Consider the following 19,966-nt stretch of genomic DNA (forward strand, 5'->3'; position numbering starts at 1 on the left):
CCTTCCCATATTCAGACCTAGATCTAAAAGAACAACTTAAAGAATGTCTATACCTCAGGGATCTAATACTGCACCTACCTTATGAGGTTGCCCAGTATAGGGCAAGTACTGAGCAAATGTTAGGCATTATTATCACTGATTTGTATTTAGGTATTTTCGCGCCCAATTTACAAATTAGAAAACTGAGTCTCAGAGAATTTAAATCCCATGCTCAAGGTGAATGGTAGGGCTAAGATTTAGGAACAGATCACAGATCAGGGTCTCCTGTTCTTTCCCATATGGCAGTAATTTGCAGACTGTTTCTTTATAGCAACAGAATTCTAACAAAATCCTTATGCAGCAGCACTGTACAGACTAAAGTGGTATAAATCATTTTTTATATGTCAGAGGGGCTCAGATGGGTCCATCCACGACAAGCCTAAACTGAGAGAGGATTTTTTTTTTATTTTTCTGTGCTGTTTATTAAATGAATAGTAATCCTGGAATATACCTAACTTAATAAACCATAGGTTCTAACTGATATCTGATTTATATATCAGATTTGAAAAGTTTAATTTGTTCTGTTTCAGGATACTAAATAAATACCACCAAAGACTATTTGCCACCTTTGATTCTTTTTAAAAAAATTCTTACTAAGAAGTGAAGGTCATAGGTTTTTCTCAACCCTGTCAGATGTATCCAAAAAATGTAGTTTCTTTATTCTGTCTGTACCTGAGCTCATCTTCTGCCTATGCATCCTCCCACTGATTAGCAAGGAAAAAAAATAGGAACTCTTTACCCCTCCATGGTAAACTTAATCTGATGCAATAACTTAAACAATCCGTGTAGGAGATGCTCGGTCTCTTTGGGATGAAAATGTGCAGTCTTGAAGATGCCACCCCTCCCTTCTCTGTCTCTCCCCAGGGTGACTGGCAAGTAATGGGAAAAGGCAGGTCTGTGTGACCTTGTGGTGGCATTAGGACTCTGTGTGGGGTGCTGTGCTTATTGAGTCCCCTCATGGCATCCCCCATCATTGGGCTGCAACTCTCTCTGGTGGCATCTGCAACTGAGGTGTGTGCTGGTCTCATCCGTAGCCTGCCCACTCTCTCGGGGTGCCTGAGAGCCTGCGGGCATTCCTGGCTCACCCAGCCTCACCTCAGCACATCCTTCATTCAGCATGGCTAGACAGTCTCTCCTGTGGGGTCACTCTGCCCCATGGGGGAACCCTGTGGCAGGTCCACTAGCCAGCTGTCTCTGGTAACAGTGGGGCAAGTGGACCCTTCTAGGCTCCGCCCATGCCGCATACAGCACACCAAGATCTGGGGGGCCACACTCAGACCCTTCTTCTCTGCCCAACCATGAAGTACTGTCTTATGTTTATACATAGGGATGCCCTTTAAGCTGGCTTCTTTCCAGAATTCTGAACAAGGGCAGGGCAAGAGTCCTTTGCCCATCCACCAATGAGATATGACATTACCTGTCCCCTTTGGGGCTTCTAAGGCCCAGAATGGAGAGACCGAGCATGGGGCTCTAACCCTCTGCCCCTCCTGCCTCTCTTCTTTCTTCTTAAAACTTGAGGTGCAGTGGGATGGTGTTTCTTTGTCTCCCTTTCATCAGACCTACCTGCTTCCTGGCCCAGACCTCAGAGCTAAGCCTGATGAAGGAAGTGGCACCCTCTCTACTCTGGGAGGAGGCTCCCCACCCAGTCCTCCGTGTGTTAGACACAGGGGCTCTAGGAATTTAGAAAGTCTTCTCCCAAGGCAATTGTCTGCTTGACAAGACTTAAATCTGGCTTCAGAATCCTGTTTTCTGTGTCCAAAGCTCATTACTACTTGTTTCCTACTCTGTCCTTTCATTTTCTAACAATCCTATCTCCCCCAGGCAACCAAATGCCTCAGGCCAATTATCAAGAAGGTCAGGTACTCGAGAAGACAAAGGGAAAAGCAAAGTCAGTGTGGAAACACCTTCCTATCAGACAGTTGTAGCCTCACTTTGCTTCCCTGTGGTCCCTAAACAAAAGGCTAGTTTGTCATTAACTACACATGAAAAAGATTCTGGCTGGGCGCTGTGGTTCATGCCTGTAATCCCAGCACTTTGGGAGGCTTAGGTGGGCTGATCACTAGGTCAGGAGTTTGAGACCACCCTGGCCAACATGGTGAAACCCCGTCTCTACTAAAAACACAAAAAATTGGCCAGGCGTGGTGGGAGACACCTGTAATCCCAGCTACTCAGGAGGCTGAGGCAGGAGAATCACATGAACCCAGGAGGTGGAGGTTGCAGAGAGCCAAGATCATGCCACTGCACTCCAGCCTGGGCAACAGAGTGAGACTCCATCTCAAAAAAAGAAAAAAGAAAAAAAAGATTGTGGTCATTGAAACAGTAGCCACTGGTGCAGGTGGTTTACTTAGAAACTTCTCACAGATTTCTTTGCTGTGGCTCAGCTATGTTTATGGAAACCGCCTTTTTTGTTGTTTTGTTAGCTTCTCTTTGGGGCAGAGGGAAGGTTGGGGGATTTGATAGGGTTTGGCTGGTATTAAATTCCTTTTCTTACAAAGGGGTTTTCCCTGTCGCTTTGTACATATCTTCAAGATGAAAACTGAGTGAACTGTTTCACCGCACACACCTTTCTCATCTCTCACTCTAAGGGCGGTTCCTTGGTGTTAAATTCATTTCCTTGTTTTCTCCATTAAAATTAAAGGCAGAACAAGTCCATAACAATCGAGAATGTCCATGCCAAGAACTCTGCCGGGGCCCAATCTTCTCTGAGCCCAGTGGTTTTCTTTTTTTTCTTTAGAGAGCCAGAAAGATGAGAAGGATCTAAACGAAGAGCAAGAAGTATTCACCGAGCTGATGCAAGTGATTGAGCAAAGGGACAAACTCGTCGATTCCTTAGAGGAACAACGCATCAGAGAAAAAGCCGAGGACCAGCACTTTGAAAGCTTCGTATTCTCCAGAGGCTGTCAGCTGAGCAGGACTTGAGGAGGCCCGTAGTCCCTCTCCCTGGCTGCACGTTGGGACCGGATCAGGCCAAGTGCACCACACACCCTCATGGGTCTTTCTGCAGGATTTATCATCCCTGGAACTTGTTATACCTTACTGCATTTTTTAAAATTAAAATTCTCTTGCACGCATGGCAGCTTCCCAAGGTTCTTCCAGAGATTCAAATGAAGAAAACCCAAAGACTCTTTGGCAATTGGCAGTCAACTTCAGCCAGGCTCTCAGACTGGAGGTGTTGTTGGCAGATGACCAGCATTGTTTTCCCTAGAAAGTGACACAAAGACTTGACTTTCCTGCTACTTTTATCATTTTCCTTCCCAATTCATTGAGTTACATACTTTAAGATTTTTGAGAAGCTGCCTTTTCATTAATATATCCATATTTGCCTTTTTTGTATGGATGACCAGTTTCCAAATGTCAGAAAGAAGCAGCCGCAGTTTAAAGATTAGGTTAATATTTAAATTGTGTTTCCAGAGAAAGAGGAGAAACCTTGAGATTACTGATTACATAAAGCAAATAACTCATATAGCAGGTGTTAATTCAATCCAGGGTGAATTTAATTTACCAGGTGCATTTATAAGCCTTAATATAATATACATAAGCAATGAGAGCTTAATAGAACATTTGAGCCTTAATTTTATTTTAAGAAGAAAAGAAAAAAGGAAATAAAACTTTAACTTTATGCCAGTGGGATTGTTAGTGTTCACCAAACACTGCTGGCTTAGAAAAGCTTTTCGTCCCCGTGCTATGCTTTTTATGGACCCTGGAAAATAATGAAAAGCATTTTCAGAAAATGAATGATTTTAAAGTACTTTTTAAATAAGTGTTGATGATGGCAAAAAAAAAAAAAAAAAGAGGGGAACTTCTTTTATTTGTTGATAAAATATTGGTGAGGTTGGTGCCGCTACTGAAACTGAACACACTAGGGTACAAGAGAAGGAATGCTTCTCGCTGGTGGTCTTCTTAGACTCAAAGAGAGAAGTATCTCTCCCTCTCCCCAGGAACTCTACAGAGCAAGGACAAAACCACTTCTGACTTAGAGGGAGGGCTGAATGCAGTGACCCTATTTACCAAATCCCAAACTGGGTCATGAATTTTTTTAATGACATTTCAGTTTGAAAAGAAAGCTGGAAGATGGAGTTTGTGTGCTGACATGTTGGAATTCCTGGGGCATTATGAGGGTTCCCATGGGGGCCAAAGAAGAGAAGATTTAATATGGTGATGTGTTGTCATAAAACATTTGATTGTTTTTGCTCGGATTCTTTGAAGATTTAGTCTATTATCGATAAGAGAAACACTAAAGAACTCTTGGTTGTGTATTTGGCCGCTCTCATTTCGGCAAGTGTTTAAATGTGTCATTAGACAAAAGGTGCTCTGCAACAGTTGGCTCTGACTGGAGACCAAATTTCTCTCAAATCAATCCATAAACCACTTCTGTCAGAGACGCTCTCTGCACGCACCAATCTGGCCAGCTCACAAGCCAGAAATTAGATGTATAACTGGATTTCCTCTGAGTCAGCCAATGCTTTGGGTTACATTTAAGCACAATCTTTCTATGTTATAGCAAGTTCCAAAGGTTGCAGTTCTTTTTCCTTTTCTTTCCTTCCTTCCTTTTTTTTTTTAAAAAAAAAATAAGAATCAGGTCTTCCAGGGCCTGAATTCTATTATTAGGCAATATGAGGAGGCACCTACCTACCTGCCTACCTATGAAAACTGTACCACTTCTGGATATTTATCTATTTTTATTTATTTGTGTATTGGTGAGAATTGATAATATCATTTCCTCATAATTCAGGTTTTCAGGTGTTATAATTTGGAGAAGACCTATTAGCACTAAGAAATTGGTACATAAGCTATTTAATATACAAATAACCCAGATGTTTGGGGCAGTGAGTTGTATAGTATTAAAGATTTCAGCTATCAGGCATTTAGAGGTAAGATTATGGATGCACAAGAATATCAACTCATTATAAGAAAAAGATTTATAACTTCAGTTTTCATTCTAGAATATGCAGCAATATTCAGGCCCCAGTCTTTTCTGTCAGTTGCATAAAAGTGCATCCTTTGATGCCTGCATACACTTAACAGATGATGTTCAAGCGTGTCATGTTTGAGTTGTTATTGTGCAAAAGAATTAATTGCCACTTATTTTAATTTGTTATATTTCCATCCTAAAGGATGAATCTCCCAAGAGGGCCAAGAGAGAAGGTGGTTTGGCCCCTAGTATTCTGTTAATAGATGAGAGAAGCAATTTGTTCACTTGCTTTCACAGGCTGTGCTCTGTGGTTTATGGCTCAGTTTTATCTGGCCAAGTTAAAACGTAAACTTCATCCTTAACAGTTTTCTATATACACTGGCCTTTCTGTTTCACTAGTACATAAAAACCATTTCAACATTTCCAATGGACACAAATATTGTGTCTGTTGAACTATCTAAAATGATTCCATTCCTTATTTACAAGAGAGAGCATTCTAAGACTCTCAAAATGTAAAATACTATACATTTTGAAGACAGTTTCTTTGTATGCAATATGAGTAGGATTATGATGAAAACACACAGAGTCTGCAGTGCCCCATAAAAGGGCACTAGTGAATGTGATCAAGGCCAAACTATATAGGACTCTGAATGGGACAGAAAGCCCAGCCTCAGGTCATATTTCACAGTCAGTCTCACACAGCTTCTAAGTTAAATCAAAGTGTTTATGATAGTTATAAGGTCAGAATTGTACCTAAGTTGGGCCAAGAGGACATTTCTTAAGCTTGCTCTCCCAAACCATTGATTTATTGGTCTATTTATTTAACATCCTCTGAATGCCCATGGGGTTCTGCAGCCCTGTGCCAGATGCTGAGATACAGAAAGAATATTAGTCCTTAACTCCACCTCCAAATAAATACAAAGATCAAGAAATAGGTACCATCCCCAAATACAAAGATGAAAAGCTATTTTTATTATAAGCATCAACCTATTCTACTCACGTTTATCTCAAGCATAAAGAATATCCCCCACTATCACAGGGCTTCTTGGGCAGTAAAAATAAGTTTGTATTTCTAAAACTGTGAAAAATCATCTCAGGTTGTACTGTTCATTTAAACCTTGACTTTGGCAGTGTTAGGCTGCTTGGAATCAATCAATGCCAAGATGCACCATGTTAATTGCAACCGAGAAAGGAAGTGGCAGGTGTTTCCAACCCTGATGAGCTGCAATGAAATTGATGTTTTCTGCATTCTGGAGGCAAATGACAATTCAGCAGTGTCTCTCTTCCCAGGAAGCAGATTTACAGGCTTTTCCTTCCAAACTGAAAATGGCAGCATGCCCCACCCAGGTGGCTGATCAGAGAACTACCTCAGCAGGGCAGAGGTGGCAGGGGGCAGCCGGGGCCGCCACATGAACAGAGAGGGGCAGTCATTGGATGTGGTGAGCTCAAATGTAGGAGTTTATTGTAATAAGAAAGTTCACATACAGGGGAAAGTGTACGATTTCATCTACTGTTTATCTTCTAACCTCACTGCTGAGTAGCTTGTAAAAGATTAATTTGCTCCAACAATTGGGAACTATTCATGTGGATGGAAATGTGTTATTTGTGCACTGCTATAGATACTGAAATGAACCAAAAATAAATGGTTTTGTGTCTCAGGAATCAAAACATTTTCATGTGGGCTTGGTCTGGCACCTCTGAGGGCAGCATCCATTTCATTTATTTGTTCTCAGTGAAAGAGCCTGGGCAAGGCTTTGATTTTGTGTGGGAGTCTGTTAATTAACCTGGGAGATTTTATTACCATGGGGCATCTAGAAGGACTTACCTGACCAGCAAATTGGATTTGAATGGGAGGAGAAGCGAAGAAGGCTCACCTCAGGTGTATTCCTTCAACAAAGAAAGCTGTTTTCAAGGCTGGGGAAGGGGAGGGATGAGGCTTATGGTAGTCCCAGCCCCTCCCTTTCTCTCACCTTTCTCTCACCTGGTTTTGTATTTAATTCGCTCAACAGGAACGTTTCCTTCTGCGCAGATCTAGCCTCTTCCTTCAAGTCACATTCTTTTAGTTTGTTCTTATTACCTCTTTTCTTAACCCCAGCACATGCATATTCTTAAACTATGAGTGCAGGGTACACCAGAATTGCCACATCACAGTAATCAACCCATGAGTCCCAGGAGCTCCCATCATTCCACACGAAGGTGCCCCATTTGTTTGAAAGCTTTTGTCTGCTGATCAAATATTTGAAAGGATTTATTTTTCCATTGAGCATCAACAACAAATATACATAACTGCAGATGAGAGCTCCTGTTTTACCAGCACTAATGTGGGGAGTGAAGAGCTCCAAGCAACAGCCACCTCTGATGGCACTTTGCAAGTTTTTCCTTGGGGCTCAGCTGACATCCTCATACTCACAGAGCTGCAGACTCTCAGCCATTGCTGCAACTCACCGTCTCTGAGCCTTCAGGGCACACTTTCTAATTTCATGCTCACTCCCTCTCCCAGTTCACTTAGAAATAAAAGAAAGCAAAACCAAACATCACAGCACCCTTCCCCCAGCCCCTCTGACCCTGATAATGGTAACAGCTACTGTGAACTCAGCTCTTCTCACCTACCAGGTGAACTAGGCCAGGAAACTCACTCCCCAGAACTCTGTCACCTCTCTGATTTCATCTGACTCACTAGAGTGCTCGTGGAATCTCTTTGGGGACCATCTCTTTGGACTGCCCTCTGCTGACCAGATGTCCAGCCCCTTGCACAGCTCTTTGGCCAATACTCCTTCAAGTATACCCTTTAGTGTTTCCAGCAGACAACATCTGGCCTTGGTGATTTGGTTCCATTTCATTGTTAGACATAATACTTCTAACCTTCCTCCCTAAGAGGAAACATCCAACGTATGAATAGCTATAATATCTCCCCCCAAGAAAGATGGAAGCGGGGTCTCTCACTCCTCCAGATCACACTGACCTAGGAAAGAATTGGGGAGAGGAAAATCAAGACCATGGGTATAATCTCAGTGGCCTGGGACATGGACCACACACCAGTACAATCACTGGGGCCCCAGGTATTCCCCCTTGCCTGGCTGAGTCTGCATTGGCTCACACCTGCTGCTTTCTGCCCTTAAAAGCATTGCTGTGCTCTTGTTTACCTGTGTGTTATTCATTCCTCTGTTTGATTACCCAAGGAGGAACTACTGATTTTAGGGCTTCACTTCTGCAGCTGGCCCTCAGCTATCATGCTGAGGTGAGAAAATCTCTCCACCACTGTCTGTAGTTCATTATTACCCCTGAAGGGTAGGTGAGCAGGTCATCTGTCTCAAAGAACTTTGGACTCATTCCCCCATGGCTGAATCAGAGGCGATTTGAGTGGCATCATCCTGTGTGGTCCTCAAAAACAGCCCTGCCCTCAGTCTACCATGTTACCAACTAAGGCTGAGGTTGTCCAACTTCCTCCTGTCCTGTGACTTCCCTGCCCACCAAGAGAATTCCTATTCTCCCACTCCATCCCTGCCACCTGGACAGCCTTCACCCAGACAGGTAGAATTCCTGGAGGACATGCTCACCGGCAGGCTGACCTTCAAAGGCCACCACTAATATTCCAGAGTTCCCAAGGGGGACATGCAATGAGGCTTGTCCCTTAAGACCCCCACTCCACAGACATTTCATTTCTCACGCATTCCTTTCATCCTAAGAGCACATCTTGCTTGCAGTGATCAAAGAGATCCTCAAGAGGCTCTGGCTGGCTTCTCTCTTCCCCCTCCTGCTTTGCTGCAGTCAAATAACTCTGACTATTGGTTGGGATCCAGAGCTTTTGTAAAACCCTCATCTTGATCTGCAGGGGATGCCATTTTGTCCCTTAGATGGTATGTGGTTCATGTCCCAGGCCACTGAGATGACACCAAGTTCTTGATTTTCCTCTCCCCAATGCTTTCCGAGGTCAGTGTGATCTGGAAGAGTGAGAGTCTCCTAGGGCTGCTGTTACAAAGTACAGCAGGTTTAAAACAGCAGAAATTTATTATCTCCCAGTCCTGGAGGCTAGAAATCCAAAGTTAAGGTGTCTGCTGAGCCATGTTCCCTCTGAGACTCTAGGGGAGGATTCTTTGTCGCCTCCTCCACCTTCTGGAAGTCCCAGGCATCCCTTGGCATGTGGCTGCATCACTCCAATGGCCATCTTCTTCCTGTATCTTTGCATCACATTCCCTCTGTGCATATCTGTGTCCAAATTTTCTTCTTCCCATAAAGATACAAGTCTCATTGGATTAGGTGCCCACCATATTCCAGTATGACCTAAATACAATTTTTAGCAACTAATTACATTGGCAATGACCCTACTTCCAGGATCCCATTCTGAAGTACTGGGTGTTACACCTTCAACGTATCTTTTTTAGGGGACAAAATTCAACCCATAACAGATGGCCTTCACATTTAGGAAGAATATCTTTTCCTAGTGAAAGCCACTTTGGGCTTGAATTTTGCCTTAATTTGCTTTGATATGATTGGTTTACCTCTATCCTGGGTTTTTAAGCTATTCAATAAAAAGCAACCCAGTAAAATAAATAGATAACAGAATACAAAAGAAAAGCTTCCTTCTATATGACAGATACAGATCACATGTAATTTATGAAATCTGAATGGAGCACCTAGACTCCAATTTTCGTTCCATTATCTTGGTACTTATAGTTACTATTTTATTATTCCTTTAATGGTTACCCTAGAGATTACAACATGATCCTTGATTTATCAGAGTCCAATAGAACTTGCTACTTTTACTTCTTCCCAGACAATGCCTGGATCTTAAAACACTTAACTCCATTTATTCACTTCCCGATTTGAATGCTTCTGCTTTTGTGTATTTTATTTTGATTTAGTTTTTAAATCCTGTATTATTTATGTTGTTGTGTATAGCGAATAGGCTTTTATGCTTACCCATATACTTACCCTCACTTGGGATGATTTTCCTTCTGCCATTCACTTCAGTATTTCCTCTTGTTTGGATCAACTATTAATAATTTTTCTCATGGTGGATAAGCTTTTTGATGTGCTGCTGGATTCGGTTTGCTAATATTAGTCTCTCAATTATTGGCTACATGTGATCTCTAGCCCATAATTTAAATTCTGGGTTTTGAATTACTTGTCCATAAAATGGTGGTGATGATAATATCATGTATGAGTCTCAAATGACATACTAATAGCTTGGCCGGGCCCAGTGGCTCATGCTGGTAATCCCAGCATTTTGGGAGGCCAAGGCAGGCAGATAACGAAGTCAGGAGTTTGAGACCAGCCTGACCAACATGGTGAAACCCTGTCTCTACTAAAAATACAAAAATTAGCCAGACTTGGTGGCATGCGCCTGTAATCCCAGCTACTCAGGAGGCTGAAGCAGGAGAATTGCTTGAACCCAGGAGGCAGAGTTTGCAGTGAGCCAAGATCATGCCACTGCACTCCAGCCTGGGCAACAGAGTGAGACTCAGTCTAAAAAAAAAAAAAGAAAAAAGGGCGCTTTTAAGATGGCCAAATAAGAACAGCTCCGGTTTGCAGCTCCTAGCGAGATCGATACAGAAGACAGGTGATTCTTGCATTTCAAACTGAGGTATCTGGTTCCTCTCATTGGGACTGGTTGGACAGTGGATGCAGCCCATGGAGGGCGAGCTGAAGCAGGGCAGGGCATCGCCTCACCCAGGAAGTGCAAGGGGTCAGGGGACTTCCCTTTCCTAGCCAAGGGAAGCCATGGCAGACTGTACCTGGAGAAACTGTACACTCCTGACCAAATACTGCGCTTTCTCCACAGTCTTAGCAACTGGCAGACCAGGAGATACCCTCCCATGCCTGGCTTAGTGGGTCCCACGCCCACGGAGCCTTGCTCACTGCTAGCACAGCAGTCTGAGATCGACCTGCGATGCTGCAGATTGGCGGGGGGAGGGGCGACTGCCACTGCTGAGGCTTGAGTAGCTCACAGTGTAAACAAAGAGGCCAGGAAGCACGAATTGGGTGGAGCCCACTGCGGCTCAGCAAGGCCTACTGCCTCTGTAGATTCCACCTCTGGGGCAGGGCATAATAGAACAAAAGGCAGCAGACAGCTTCTGCAGACTTAAACATCCCAGTCTGACAGTTCTGAAGAGGGCAGTGGTTCTCTCAGCATGGTGTTCGAGTTTCGAGAACGGACAGACTGCCTCCTCAAGTGGGTTCCTGACCCCCGTGTAGCCTGACTGGGAAACATCTCCCAGTAGGGGCCAACAGACACCTCAATCAGGCGGGTGCCCCTCTGGGATGAAGCTTCCAGAGGAAGGATCAGGTAGCAATACTTGCTGTTCTGCAGCTTCCGCTGGTGATACCCAGGCGAACAGCATCTGGAGTGGACCTCCAGCAAACTCCAACAGACCTGCAGCTGAGGGGTCTGACTGTTAGAAAACTAACAAACAGAAAGGAATAGCATCAATATCAACAAAAAGGACATCCACACCAAAACCCCATCTGTAGGTCACCAACATCAAAGATCAAAAACCACAAAGATGGGGAGAAGCCAGAGCAGAAAAGCTGAGAATTCCAAAAAACAGAGTGCCTCTTCTCCTCCAAATGATCACAGCTCCTCGCCAGCAGCAGAACAAAACTGGACAGAGAATGAGTTTGATGAGTTGACAGAAGTAGGCCTCAGAAGGTCGGTAATAACAAACTTCTCCGAGCTAAAGGAGCATATTCCAAACCATCGCAAGGAAGCTAAAAACCTTGAAAAAAGGTTAGACAAATGACTAACTAGAGTAAACAGTGTAGAGAAGACCTTAAATGACCTGATGGAGCTGAAAACCATGGCACAAGAACTTCATGATGCCTGCACAAGCTTCGATAGCCAATTCGATTAAGTGGAAGAAAGGATATCGGTGATTGAAGATCAAATTAATGAAATAAAGCAAAAAGACAAGATTAGAGAGAAAAGAGTGAAAAGAAACAAACAAAGCCTCCAAGAAATATGGGAATATTTGAATAGACCAAATATACGTTTGATTGGTGTACCAGAAAGTGATGGGGAGAATGGAACCAAGTTAGAAAACATTCTTCAGGATATTATCCAGGAGAACTTCCCTAACCTAGCAAGGCAGGCCAACATTCAAATTCAGGAAATGCAGAGAATACCACAAAGATACTCCTCGAGAAGAGCAACCCCAAGACACATAATTGTCAGATTCACCAAGGTTGAATTGAAGGAAAAAATGTTAAGGGCAGCCAGAGAGAAAGGTCAGGTTACCCACAAAGGGAGGCCAATCAGACTAACAGCAGATCTCTCGGCAGGAACACTACAAGCCAGAAGAGAGTAGGGGCCAATATTCAACATTCTTAAAGAAAAGAATTTTCAACCCAGAATCTCATATCCAGCCAAACTAAGCTTCATAAGTGAAGGAGAAATAAAACCCTTTACAGACAAGCAAATGCTGAGAGATTTTTGTCACCACCAAGCCTGCCTTATAAGAGCTCCTGAAGGAAGCACTAAACATGCAAAGAAACAATCGGTACCAGCCACTGCAAAAACATCCCAAATGGTAAAGACCATTGACACTACAAAGAAACTGCATCAATTAATGGGCAAAATAACCAGCTAACATCATAATTACAAGATCAAATTCAAATATAACAATATTAATCTTACATGTAAGTGGGCTAACTGCCTCAATTAAAAGACAGACTGGCAAATTGGATAAAGAGTCAAGACCCATCAATGTGCTGTATTCAGGAGACCCATCTCGTGTGCAAAGACTCACATAGACTCAAAATAAAGGGATGGAGGAAGATCTACCAAGCAAATGGAAAGCAAAAAAACAAAACAAAACAAAACAAAAAGCAGGGGTTGCAATCCTAGTCTCTGATAAAACAGACTTTAAACCAACAAAGATCAAAAGAGACAAAGAAGGCCATTACATAATGGTAAAGGGATCAATTCACCAAGAAGAGCTAACTATCCTAAATATATATGCGCCCAATACAGGAGCACCCAGATTCATAAAGCAAGTCCTTAGAGACCTACAAATAGACGTAGACTCCCACGGAATCACAATGGGAGACTTTAACACCCCACTGTCAATATTAGAGAGATCAACGAGACAGAAGGTTAACAAGGATATACAGGACTTGAACTCAGCTCTGGACCAAGCAGACCTAATAGACATCTACAGAGCTCTCCACCCCAAGTCAACAGAATATACAGTCTTCTCAGCACCACATCACACTTATTCTAAAATTGACCACATAATTGGTAGTAAAACACTCCTCAGCAAATGTAAAAGAACAGAAATCACAACAAACTGTCTCTCAGACCACAGCACAATCAAATTAGAACTCTGGATTAAGAAATTCACTCAAAACTGCACAACTACGTGGAAACTGAGCAACCTGCTCCTGAATGACTACTGCGTAAATAACAAAATGAAGGCAGAAATAAAGATGTTCTTTGAAACCAACGAGAACAAAGATACAACATACCAGAATCTCTGGGACACATTTAAAGCAGTCTGTAGAGGGAAATTTATACCACTAAGTGCCCACAAAGAAAGCAGGAAAGATCTAAAATTGACACCCTAACAACACAATTAAAAGAACTAGAGAAGCAAGAGCAAACAAATTCAAAAGCTAGCAGAAGGCAAGAAATAACTAAGATCAGAGCAGAACTAAAGGAGATAGAGACACAAAAAAACTTTCAAAAAATCAATGAATCCTGGAGCTGGTTTTTTGAAAAGATCAACAAAATAGACCACTAGCAAGACTAATAAAGAAGAAAAGAGAGAAGAATCAAATAGACACAATAAAAACTGATAAAGGGGATGTCACCACCAATCCCACAGAAATACAAACTACCATCAGAGAATACTATAAACACCTCTATGCAAATAAACTAGAAAATCTAGAAAAAATGGATAAATTCCTGGACACATACAACCTCCCAAGACTAAACCAGGAAGAAGTTGAATCTCTGAATACACCAATAACCGGTTCTGAAATTGAGGCAATAATTAATAGCCTACCAACGAAAAAAAGTCCAGGACCAGACGGATTCACAGCCGAATTCTGTCAGAGGTACAAAGAGGAGCTGGTGCCATTCCTTCTGAAACTATTTCAATCAATAGAAAAAGAGGGAATCCTCTCTAACTCATTTTATGAGGCTAGCCCGGTAGAGACACAACAAAAAAAGAGAATTTTAGGCCAATATCCCTGATAAACATCGATGTGATAATCCTCAGTAAAATGCTGGCAAACAGAATCCAGCAGCACATCAAAAAGCTTATCCACCATGATCAAGTCAGCTTCATCCCTGGGATGCAAGGCTGGTTCAACATATGCAAATCAATAAACATAATCCATCACATAAACAGAACCAATGACAAAAACCACATGATTATCTCAATAGATGCAGAAAAGGCCTTTGACAAAATTCAACAGCCTTTCATGCTAAAATCTCTCAATAAACTAGGTATTAATGGAACATATCTCAAAAAAATAAGAGCTACTTATGACAAACCCACAGCCAATATCATACTCGATGGCAAAAACTGGAAGCATTCCCTTTGAAAACTGGCACAAGACAAGGATGCCCTCTCTCACCACTCCTATTCAACATAGTGTTGGAAGTTCTGGTCAGGGCAATCAGGCAAGAAAAAGAAATAAAGGGTGTTCAATTAGGAAAAGAGGAAGTCAAATTGTCTCTGTTTGCAGATGACATAATTGTATATTTAGAAAACCCCATCGTCTCAGCCCCAAATCTCCTTAAGGTGATAAGCAACTTTAGCAAAGTCTCAGGATACAAAATCAATGTGCAAAAATCACAAGCATTCCTATACACCAATAATAGACAAACAGAGATCCAAATCATGAGTGAACTCCCATTCACAATTACTACAAAGAGAATAAAATACCTAGGAATTCAACTTACAAGGGATGTGAAGGATCTCTTCAAGGAGAACTACAAACCACTGCTCAATGAAATAAAAGAGAACACAAGCAAATGGAAAAACATTTTCCATGCTCATGGATAGGAAGAATCAATATTGTGAAAATGCCCACACTGCCCAAAGTAATTTATAGATTCAATGCTATCCCCATCAAGCTACCACTGACTTTCTTCACAGAATTGGAAAAAACTACTTTAAAGTTCATATGGGACCAAAAAAGAGCCTGCATAGCCAAGACAATCCTAAGCAAAAAGAACAAAGCTGGAGGCATCACACCACTTGACTTCAAACTATACTACAAGGCTACAGTAACCAAAACAACATGGTACTGATACCAAAACAGATATATAGACCAATGGAACAGAAAAGAGGCCTTAGAAATAACACCACACATCTGCAACCATCTGATCTTTGACAAACCTGACAAAACCAAACAATGGGGAAAGGATTCCCTATTTAATAAATGGTGCTGGGATAACCCACTAGCCATATGTAGAAAGCTGAAACTGGATCCCTTCCTTATACCTTATACAAAAATTAACTCAAGATGGATTAAAGACTTAAATGTAAGACCTAACAGCATAAAAACCCTAGAATAAAACCTAGGCAGTACCATTCAGGACATAGGCATGGGCAAAGACTTCATGACTAAAACACCAAAAGCAATGGCAACAAAAGCCAAAATAGACATACAGGATCTAATTAAACTAAAGAGCTTCTGCACAGCAAAATAAACTATCATCAGGGTGAACAGGCAACCTACAGAATGGGAGAGAACCTTTGCAATCTACCCATCTGACAAAGGGCTGATATACAGAATGTACAAAGAACTTAAACAAATTTACAAGAAAAAAACAATCCCATCAAAAAGTGGGCAAAGGATATGAACAGACACTTCTCAAAAGAAGACATTTATGCAGCCAACAAACATATGAAAAAATGCTCATCATCACTGGTCATCAGAGAAATGCAAATCAAAACCACAATGAGATACCATATCACGCCAGTTAGAATGGCCATCATTAAAAAGTCAGGAATCAACAGATGCTGGAGAGGATGTAGAGAAATAGGAATGCTTTTACACTGTTGGTGGGAGTATAAATTAGTTCAACCACTGTGGAGGACAGTGTGGTGATTCCCTAAGGATCTAGAGCTAGAAATATCATTTGACCCAGCTATCCCATTACTGGGTATATACCCAAAGGGTTATAAATCATGCTACTATAAAGACACATGCACACGTATGTTTATTGCGGCACTATTCACAATAGCCAAGACTTGGAACCAACCCAAATGCCCATCAATGATAGACTGGATTAAGAAAATGCACATATACACCATGGAATACTATGCAGCCATAAAAAAGGATGAGTTCCTGTCCTTCAAAGGGACATCGATGAAGCTGGAAACCATCATTCTAAGGAAACTATCACAAGGACAGAAAACCAAACACTGCATGTTCTCACTCATAAGTGGGAGTTGAACAATGAGACACATGGACACAGGGCGAGGAGCATCACACACTGGGGCCTTTTGGGGGGTGGGGGGCTAGGGGAGGGATAGGATTAGGAGAAATACCTAATGTAAATGATGAGTTGATGGGTGCAGCAAACCAACGTGGCACATATATACCTGTGTAACAAACCTGCACATTGTGCACATGTACTCTAGAACTTAAAGTATAATAAAAAAAAGAAAAAAAAAGAGAGATACTAATAGCCAGTATTTATTAAACTAAGGTCTTATCATCTGCTAGGCACTGAGCTGAGTTGCTTATTTATTCTCACTCTCTTGGTCCTCTCAACAACCTCATGAGGAATTACTCATTTTATGATAAAAGTGAGGCAACAGCAAGGTTAAGTAACTTGCACAGGATTATACAGCTTTGGCTGCAGAATGGTGATTTGAACCCATATGCTTCACCACTACATGACCCTTTCTTGTACAACACACAGCCTGCCTGTTGGCATTCTTGAAGGAAGATGACAGGACCCGGATAGGAAAGCTGCTGGGTGGCTGAGAGTAGCCACAAGTTTATCTAGAAATGTAATTGCCTAAGAAAAGGCTGGGGACAGAACTGGCCTCATTTAGGAACTGTGAAGTTTTGAGTGACATGGGCCACCCAGGGATTTGGAGGAGACTAGACATAAAAGAAACCCTGCAGGGCATATAGTCCCATGGCTTCATTTTTAAAAATTAATCATGTTTGCGATAAATTCATAATATTTTTTTGAGACAGGGTCTGGCTCTGTTGCCCAGACTGGAGTGCAATGGCACAATCTCGGCTCACTGCAGCCTTTGCCTCCTTGGCTCAAGCCATCCTTACACCTCAGCCTCCTGAATAGCCGGGACTACAGGCACATGCCATCATACCTGGCTAATTTTTGTATTTTTTGTAGAGACAGGTTTTTGCCATGTTGTCCAGGCTAGGTTTTTGCCATGTTGTCCAGGCTGGCCTTGAATTCCAAACTCAAGCAATCCACCCGGCTCAGCCTCCCAAAGTGCTGGGATTACAGGCATGAGCCACCATGCCCAGCTGTAGATTTTTATTGAAGTATAAAATACATACAGAAAATCTGCTGAAAGTACTATGTGTATGTCTCATTGATTTTTAAAAGTGAATATATCCACGTAACCAGTATCCAGATCAGGAAACAGAACATTAGCAGCTTCAGTGGTTTTCCTCATGCCACCCACTCCATTCTAGTCACTACACCTTCCAAGGCTAATCAATATCCTGACTTCTAACATTATAGAGTAGTTTTGCCTGTTTGTGAACTTTACTTGAATACAATTATACAGTATGTGCTCTTTTGTGTCTGATTTCCTTCGCTCAACATTATATTGTAAGATCCATTCCTGTTGCTGCTTGTAGTTGCAAATTGTTCACTCTCATTGCTGTGGTTATCACAATCAATTCAACTGTTAACAGGCAGCTGAATGGTGCTGCTGTGAACTTTCTAGAGCCTATCTCTGTGTGTACACATGTACTCATTTTTGTTGGGTATAACCTATAATTGAAATTGTTGATCATAAGGTATGTATGATGGTTGGCTTTAGTAGGTACTGCCTTGGCTTCATTTTATAGATGATGGGAAAAATAAATGCAGAAAGGGAAGAGATTTACCCAAGATCACCTGGCTGCTAAGCTAAGATTGGAACCTGAGTTTATTCTCTTCCAGTGCATTTGTCTAGGCCCCAATTTCAAGAAGAGGCAGCCTAGAGATTCAGCAGAGTCTTACGTATCACACATTTAATTGATGATCTGTCCTTAGAATCAAATCCCTTGGGTAAGATGAAAACAATGACCGAGCATGAGAGGAGGTGCTGTTCAGTGGGGACATAATTGTAAATACCAATTTAGAGTGGAGGGAGCTGGTACAAGGTCTTCCCATCCTATCAAAGAATAGCATGCAGCATGTCTCTAAGTAAGATTTAGATTCAGCCTACTTCAGTGCCAGGCCCTGTAGATGGTGCTTTCCCACAGATTATCTCATTTACTCTTCTAAACAAAAACCAGATCAATTCACATTCTTAAGGATTCTAAAAGCATTATATCAAATGAGAGTAGATGAACTCTCTAAGTAAACACGAGCAATGTAGAACAGTGCTTCTTAATCTGCTAAAGGACCAATTCATCATAGAGCAATATTTTTGTAAATAAAAATAAAAAATTACTAGAAAAATAGAATGAAAAGATATTCAAAATATAAGCTTCTGATTATTGTTAGATTAAACAGACATAAAGTGTTGTTAAATTGCTATAAAAGTTTCTAAAAACTCTCAATTTCTACATTTATGTCATTGGCTAATTGTTGGGAACAGGCCCCCCAAAATCTGGCCATAAACTGGCCCCAGAACTGGCCATAAACAAAATCTCTGCAGCACTGTGACATGTTCATGATGGCCATAACGCCCACGCTGGAAGGTTGTGGGTTTACCGGAATGAGGGCAAGGAACACTTGGCCCGCCCAGGGTGGAAAACCACTTAAAGGCGTTCTTAAACCACAAACAATAGCATGAGCGATCTGTGCCTTAAGGACATGCTTCTGCTGCAGATAACTAGCCCAACCCATCCCTTTATTTCGGCCTATCCCTTTGTTTCCCATAAGGGATACTTTTAGTTAATCTAATATCTATAGAAACAATGCTAATGACTGGCTGGCTTGCTGTTAATAAATACGTAGGTAAATCTCTTTTCGAGGCTTTCAGCTCTGAAGACTGTGAGACCCCTGATTTCCCACTTCACACCTCTATATTTCTGTGTGTGTGTCTTTAATTCCTCTAGCGCCGCTGGGTTAGGGTCTCCCCGACCAAGCTGGTCTTGGCAGCTAATAATGGTATCCAGATCAATACTGGTTTGCAGACTACACTGTGAGTAGCACTGATTTATAATTCACCACCCATTCCCACTGGCCTTTCCAGAAAGATTGATAATGATCTTACCAGTAGAAATGCTTGAATAACAAGGTATCAGCATAATATTGAGACCCTGGCAACCATTCCCACCAATGCAGGTTACTGCATACATTAACAGGACTTTATCGTTCCCCTGTCTTCCAAAAATTTCTTGCCCAGGAAGATAAAAAGCTATGAATAACTTTCTTGTTCTTTTCAAGAACTCCCCACCAAATCTCATTGAAATGAACATAAACCCATTAGACTTTTCAATAGATAGCATTAAAAAGACTATTTACTCTCCAAGACTCTTGGAAAGCTTTGCCTAGGGTCTACCAGTCCTTATCTATTATATCATGATCCTTAGTCAAACTTAATCAAGCACCATCCCACTGGAAGGCCTGTCTTCATCAAGATTCCAAAACCTTATAAATATCCCTTCCCCTACTCCAAGATGCTACTGAGACTCTGCCAAGGCAGGGCTCTCCTTATCATGGTGTACAAAAAATTCAGCTTTGCCTTCTTCCACAGCTTATTTTGCTGATATTTTCTGGGAGCTAGCATTCAACAATCAAGACTTTACTCCTCCTTTTAGCCTTGCTCAGTGGTTTTCCAAGTTTAACGAACATAACAATTACTGAGGAGTATTATATATGCAAAAGCATGCATGGGCAACTGAAGGAATCTCCAT

The 19,966-nt window shown here is 41.8% G+C and overlaps 1 protein-coding gene across 1 annotated transcript in view, besides 2 other annotated features; it reads left to right on the plus strand.

Annotated features, from left to right (window-relative positions):
- MICAL2 (microtubule associated monooxygenase, calponin and LIM domain containing 2) overlaps window positions 1–6,619 on the plus strand; it is a 251,551-nt gene extending 244,932 nt beyond the window's left edge. Inside the window, exon 37 of the mRNA NM_001393937.1 lies at window positions 2,774–6,619. Within this exon, the coding sequence (NP_001380866.1) occupies window positions 2,774–2,958 (185 nt within the window). The 3' untranslated portion in view covers window positions 2,959–6,619. The remainder of the gene's footprint in view (window positions 1–2,773) is intronic.
- Window positions 10,685–11,257: an enhancer, noted in NCBI's record as "NANOG-H3K27ac-H3K4me1 hESC enhancer chr11:12387753-12388325 (GRCh37/hg19 assembly coordinates)". NCBI's record gives its function as "activates a minimal SCP1, AML or CMV promoter by ChIP-STARR-seq in naive H9 embryonic stem cells {active_cell/tissue: H9 hESC(naive)}" and the evidence as "EXISTENCE:reporter gene assay evidence [ECO:0000049][PMID:30033119]".
- Window positions 10,721–11,015: an enhancer, noted in NCBI's record as "tiled region #4146; K562 Activating DNase matched - State 4:PromP, and HepG2 Activating non-DNase unmatched - State 4:PromP". NCBI's record gives its function as "activates a minimal TATA promoter and a strong SV40 promoter by Sharpr-MPRA in K562 cells, with weaker activation in HepG2 cells {active_cell/tissue: HepG2 | K562}" and the evidence as "EXISTENCE:reporter gene assay evidence [ECO:0000049][PMID:27701403]".

This window comes from Homo sapiens, chromosome 11 (genome assembly GCF_000001405.40).
Source record: "Homo sapiens chromosome 11, GRCh38.p14 Primary Assembly".
NCBI classification, from domain to species: Eukaryota; Metazoa; Chordata; class Mammalia; order Primates; family Hominidae; genus Homo; species Homo sapiens.